This window comes from Homo sapiens, chromosome 14, assembly GCF_000001405.40.
Source record: "Homo sapiens chromosome 14, GRCh38.p14 Primary Assembly".
Taxonomy (NCBI): Eukaryota; Metazoa; Chordata; class Mammalia; order Primates; family Hominidae; genus Homo; species Homo sapiens.
Genome location: NC_000014.9, coordinates 86,400,631 through 86,407,749, shown reverse-complemented (window position 1 = coordinate 86,407,749; position 7,119 = coordinate 86,400,631).

Sequence of the window (7,119 nt, the reverse complement as noted above, 5' to 3'; positions counted from 1 at the left end):
TCCCTTACTAGATTTGAAGATCCTTAATGGTAGGGATTTTAGATGATTTATGTAGGCATGCTCTTCTCTAGTATATTCCTATATAATTAACAGGTATTCATTAAATCTATGTCGAACCACATCTACATCCATTGGCCCTTATGTGTTCATTTACATCAAACAGGCAGCATATCCTCCACTGAAAACTACGGATATATAGTAAAAATGATTCCAGAGGAAATGGATGTAAAATATTTTATTTCCAATAAAATGAGTTTTTTGAAATAGTATTTTAAAATTACCAAATGAATCTGTATTAGTCCATTTTCACACTGCTATTAAGAACTGCCCGAGACTGTGTAACTTAATGAAGGACAGAGGTTTAATTGACTCACAGTTCAGCATGGCTGGGGTGGCCGCAGGAAACTTACAATCATGGTAGAAGGCAAAGGGGAAGCAAGGCACCTTCTTCACAAGGTGGCAGGAAGGAGAATGAATGCAGGAGGAACTACCAAACGCTTATAAAACTATCAGTTCTCATGAGAACTCACTCACTATCACAAGAACAACATGGGGGAACTGCCCCCATGATCGAATTACCTCCACCTGGTCTCTCCCTGGACATATAGGAATTATAATTTGAGATGAGATTTTGGTGGGGACACAGAGCCAAACCATATCAGGATCTAAATTTTGTTTGGCATTGAGATGGCAAGATGTTGTTAATATTAGTGTTTTAATCTATGATGGTATATAATTAAATAGAATTTCAAGTGTGCAAGGCTGAGAGCTATGTGTCAGCTTCTGTATTACATTAGAGTATAGTTTACAGGTACAAAACGATTAAAGGATAATCATACCTTATTTTCCAGGTGTAATCTGCAGTGGTTAGCAAGGTTAGTAGTCAACAGTAGGGATGAAATAGAAAGCTTGCTATAGCGTGCAGCACATAGCATTTATATTCTTCAAGAGCAAAGCATAAAGAGTAAAACCTTGCAACAAAGCCACTGTGGAAATAGTCCGTTATTACATCAATATAAAGTCAAGTCACTATGTAAAATCGCATACCAATTTGAAAACTAAAATTGTCTTTGTTTTGTTTGGAATTCCCGATACATATCTATATGTATAGAGTTCATATTGTTTGGAATTCCCAATACATGTCTATATGTATAGAGTTCATAGTAAACAAAAGGCATGAAGCTCTAAGCCAGTGGGCTTGAATTTTCTCCACCATAATTTTTTTTTTTTTTTTTTTTTTTTTTTTTTTTTGAGACGGAGTCTCGCTGTCTCCCAGGCTGGAGTGCAGTGGCGGGATCTCGGCTCACTGCAAGCTCCGCCTCCCAGGTTCACACCATTCTCCTGCCTCAGCCTCCCGAGTAGCTGGGACTACAGGCGCCCACTACCACGACCGGCTAATTTTTTTTTTTTTTTTTGTATTTTTAGTAGAGACGGGGTTTCACCGTGTTAGCCAGGATGGTCTCGATTTCCTGACCTCGTGATCCACCTGCCTCGGCCTCCCAAAGTGCTGGGATTACAGGCGTGAGCCACCGCGCCCAGCCTCCACCATAATTTTTAAGGCACTCTCTCCTTTAATATTTCCAAAGTGACCTTCTAGCTTTATCTTTCATTTCTAAAACTATGTTTCTGCCTTGTTAAGAAAAAATGATATATTAAGGCCATTCGTTAAATGGCTATCATTTAAAAACTTATGATTTTCCACTTTAGGAAAAATTGTAATGACAAATCATCATAAAATTAGAGGTGAGAAAGTTTCAACTCAGGAATTTGTGTTGCTTTTTTCGATACAATAATTCTGTACAGGCTTCAAAAAGAGCAGACCAATGTTACAAAATATTTATATCATGCAATATATTTTGTAAGTATCTTGTGAAAGCAGCACAGTACACTGGAAATATCACAATTCTTTCAACACTTCCTTTCAATTATGAACATTATTATTTCATATTAATTTCCTAGAATGGGCATGTATGTACACTTATAGCCATAGGTTCTGAGTGATTTTTTTTACTACCCATATTTTTGAGACCCAGAACCTGTGTTGGGTGTCTCAATATGGACAAATATACATGATTACTAAATACAGCAATCAATCAGCTCAAGACTCAGTGTTGCCTGCATCTCTGGCTTTGCATTTTTGTCATTCATGCTAAACAGTACATTTAAGGATTTGCTGAAATGGCGATATATAAACTTATGGGATGTTGTTCTAGCAGGATAAGAGAGGAATTTATGTGATTGCTTATATTATGAAACATTAAGGCAGCAAATTGAAAGGGTAGATATCTCTAGAGGTATTTCCTGTATCAGAGAAGCCCAGTACATTTTTGGCTGACACAGCAAAAATCAAATTCTAAGTTTATTGTGTCATCTGCTAATTTGAAATTAGTCTCATCAAGTCTCTTATGTAAAACTTCAGCTATTAATTTTTTTAAAAAAAGGACTGTAAGAAGTGAAAGTAGCCTACATTTGAGAATGTATTTGGATGACTCTGAGAATCTAAGCCCTGAAGGCCTGCTGAGTGATGCTGGCCAGAAGCAGCAGCCTGTCCATCTGTGCCTGATGAGACTCTTCTTGCTTCGCTTGAATGACCTTGCCTAAGGGGTTAGCTAGCAATGGGAAGCAAACGTCCTCAAGTCCCTTCCCCATTGCCTCCACACCTATGACAAAAATTATATCCCAGAGTTGGTGGAGGACAGGGTCACAAAGTCTAACAGAAAGCTTAACTCAACAATGGCAAAATTTTGCTAACTTAAACTGGCAAAAATGTGAAACTTAATTGTTTCACATGAATACATTGTAAGGAGGCCAAACCAGGGAAAGAGGAATAGCTTCCAATCAGGATGGAAGTATTGATAAAGATGCAATTAATGGAGAAGAAGAATCCTCAAACAATGAAAATTGGCTCTAATTGTTTACTTGGTTGATTGCTGGCTTTTTTTTCTTAAAGATGTCCAATACTAAATAAGGTTGAGAAAAAATTTCTTTAGGATTTTATGGAAAAAAGTTGGAATGTGACATTTATGATTCACTGAACTACTACAAACAAACCTTCGGCAGTCTACTGAACCTGCTCTATCCAACCTTACTAACATCTAGTTTGGCATTACTCAGCCTTTCTTTCCATTGACCTATCACCTTTTGACATTAAGAAAACTTTTGTTTTGCAACATTTTTAGCATAGTTGGAATTCCATGTTGGGACTGGACGAATACTTTTGTAGGAGGTAAACAAATATACACAATCTTCAAAAAGTCTGGCTATAAATGAGGTTAAGAACCATGAGCAGTGGGAACATATACATTTAGGGTTAGTACTAAATATGGACAGAAATCTTAAAATTCTGGATTCTTAAAATCTAGATAAGAATTAGCATTAACATTTAGGAAGTACTCAGTAATTTTGGATTAAATATATGAATAAGTTTAACAGAGATAGTGCTTCTTTCACTGGTCATAAGAAACCTTAATTGGCAAGAACAATCCAATTCCAGCAGGTTAGGCTCATGCATCTGATTAAAAATAAATAAATATGGCCGGGTGCGGTGGCTCAGGCCTGTAATCCCAGCATTTCGGGAGGCCGAGGCGGTGGATCACAACGTCAGGAGATCGAGACCATCCTGGCTAACACGGTGAAACCCCATCTCTACTGAAAATACAAAAAATTAGCCGGGCGTGGTGGTGGGCACCTGTAGCCCCAGCTACTCAGGAGGCTGAGGCAGGAGAAGGGCGTGTACCAGGGAGGCGGAGCTTGCAGTGAGCCGAGATCGCGCTATTGCACTCCAGCCTGGGTGACAGAGCGAGACTCTATCTCAATAAATAAAAAATAAATAAATAAATAAATAAATAAATAAATAAATAAATAAAGTAGTGAACTATTCTTCAATCATTTGTTGACTTCTCCAATCATGGGCTTTGGTTGATCTCATTAAGGGAGCTCTTTCATGTTGGTGTGTTAGAAACAGTCTCTCTATAGCACTCATATCTACTAGAGAATAAGAATAATATCTGGAAAACTACTTCACTTTTGAAAACTGGATATTTCTTTCTTGATTTTAAAAAAAAATTAAGTTGTTTCTTTAAATAAACCAACAAACAAAAAAAGAGCTACTACGTTTTAATAGTGTAGAAAGTCATGAGATATTTCTCAATCCAAGGTAAAATATGTAGGTATATAAAATATAATTCTTCATTCTTGAATTATTACTATTTAAATTCATTATGATTTTATTGATATGAATACCTTGAAAAGATGAAGGCTAAATTGCACAAGGTAATAACTTGAAAATAAGTAATACTTTAAGCATAAGAATATTTATTACTGGAGATTTTAAAATTGTACCATCTTGGGCTGGAATAACTTACAGTGGTTATAATTCAATTTATAATAGGCATCAATTTGTTTTCAAAAGCTAAGATGTAAAGTCAAGAGACTGGAAAGTGAGAATGAATTCATAATGGGTAGTTATGTTCCCATCTGGAAATGGCATAAATAAAAATAAATGAAATAAATGACCTTTCCTATTTGCATATTTAAAGATTAACTAGAAACAGACTGTTTTGAATTATTTCCATTTAAATAAATTGTATAACCTGAGAAGTTTGCATTTTAGACCCCTCTATTTTATAAGAATCACAGCATGAGATTTATTTTATTCACATAGTGTGTTATGTACTCCTGAGTAAAGCCACAATTTGGTAACTCAGTTACAGCCCACGTGAGCATTCATAGTACCTTTAAGTATGTCCTTGCATCCTTGCAAACTGCCATGTTCACCCATTCTCCAAATAGCCACACTCATGTTATTTAGTAGGTGCACCAGGAGAATGCCACCAATAATCATTTGCATATTCAATTGCTTTTTGTGCCAAAACTCCTGACAAAGGGAAGCATTTGACATTTACACTGTTGTTAGCTTATCATATTGAGAAAAATAAGCCATATAAAACTTGCCAAATTTTTTATAAGCCTCAAAGCTAAATGCATGTTGAAAAAAAAATTTATGCAAAATGTCAGAAATGATGACTAGGGATATTTTTGCATTCTCAAATTGCATTAAAATTACTATAAGAGTAGAAGCGAAGGAAAGGATTAAATCTGTAAATACCTAGGAAAAATACATGTACCATGAATTTTGAGGAAGTTATTCAAAAATGAATACCTATAGAATTAGTTTGATGGAGAAGCCAGAGAAAAGAACCTGTAACCCCAAATGCACACCAGTCAGTGAATCCAGATGTAAGAGTTTTTCTGTTCATGGGGAAAATTTTCAAGCCCAGAGGCAAGAGGCACAGGAAGTATAATCAAATCACAGGAAAATTTCAAAGTAATTAATTAAATAAAAGTCTCCTGTGAAAGAGATGAGCAGATTTCCTTGAATGAGCTTCAGATCTCTGCAACAGTCAGGAAGTAAAACAAACAAAACAAGCAAAAAACAAAGCAAACTAAAGTAATATGTCAGCTTGGAGTAAAAGAGAGAAGAATACTTAAATTGTTCGCTTGCTCTTCTCCAGGAAACCTAAGAGGCATTCTGACACTCACAATATTAGATTCCATTCCTGCCTTGTAAGGTATGTCTATTGTAGAAAGAGATGAATCCCCAGTTCTAATTCTCCCATCTCTCTTAATTACACTTCAAAAAGTCCAGCCTTTGATGAATCAAGGGTATTCTGGGAAACCACTATATTTTTAAAAACTGGTATTTAAAGTTTTTGCACATATTGCCCTGGAAAAATTTTGAAGATCTAAGTATTTCCTCACAATCTTATAAACCAATATCTACTTTTTCGTATGACTTACAAAGATTATAATTTCATATATAATGTAAATTTTATAATTTTAAATAATATGGTTATATCACCCTTTATGCTCATCTGATGAAATGTAATTGTAAAAAATCATATACCAATATTCATTTATTTAAAAATACATTAAGAAGTTTTACTTTTATTACGGGAAATTTTAAATAATTTCTTTTCTCCTGACATTGTATTTCCATTCCACTCTTCTTGAAGAATTTTATGCCAGTGCAGTATATTCTTATGCTTAAAGTATTATGTATACCTCTATCATATGTCTCTGCAACAATTACAACAAATATACATATGTGTATATATATGTATGTGTGTATGTATGTATGTGCATGTACATATATAGAAATCTATTCATTTTAATTTTCCCTAATAATAAAGCTCTAAATATTTTACAAGAATCTTCTAGATTTAACTTCAGTATTTATAGTATATAATTGATGAAAACCACTTAAATATTTATTCAGATTTTGCTAAAATAATATTATTGTTTGGTATGGAGTCCTGCATAAATTTTAGGATGGTGATAGATATGTCTTCCTTTTTTAAAGTAGGTAAAAACAGTTTTTTTCAAAGGGAGGAGGGAAAAGAGAATGTTAGGTGCCTTCAATGCAGGCCCACTGTCAGTCAGATCAATTTTGGAAAATCATGTACCTCAGTTAACCAAGATGTGGTTTTCTTTCTTCTTCTTCTTCTTCTTCTTTTTTTTTTTAATGGTACCTTAAGCTCTGGAATACATGTGCAGAACGTGGAGGTTTGTTACATAGGTATACACATGCCATGGTGGTTTGCTGCACCCATCACCCCATCATCCACATTAGGTATTTCTCCTAACGCTATCCCTACCCTAGCCCCCCACCCCCTGACAGGCCCCAGTGTGTGATGTTCCCCTCCCTGTGTCCATGTATTCTTATTTTTCAACTCCCACTTTTGAGTGAGAACATGCAGTGTTTGGTTTTCTGTTCCTGTGTTAGTTTGTTGAGAATGATGGTTTCCAGCTTCATCTATGTCCCTGCAAAGGACATGATCTCATCCTTTTTGATGGCTGCATAGTATTCCATGGTGTTTATGTGCCACATTTTATTTATCCAGTCTTTCATTGATGTGGTTTTCACAATTGTATAGCTCCTGAAATATTTCCATGTACTCACATTTGTGCACATATTGCACTTTTAGGTCTCCTATTTTAACATGTCAAAAGTACAGGCATTTTTTTTTTTTTTTTGCAAAAATACAACCTAAGAACTTTCTGAAAATTACAGTTTGGTTACTAGAGAGTTGCTACCTAGGATAGAGGTAATTTCGTCGT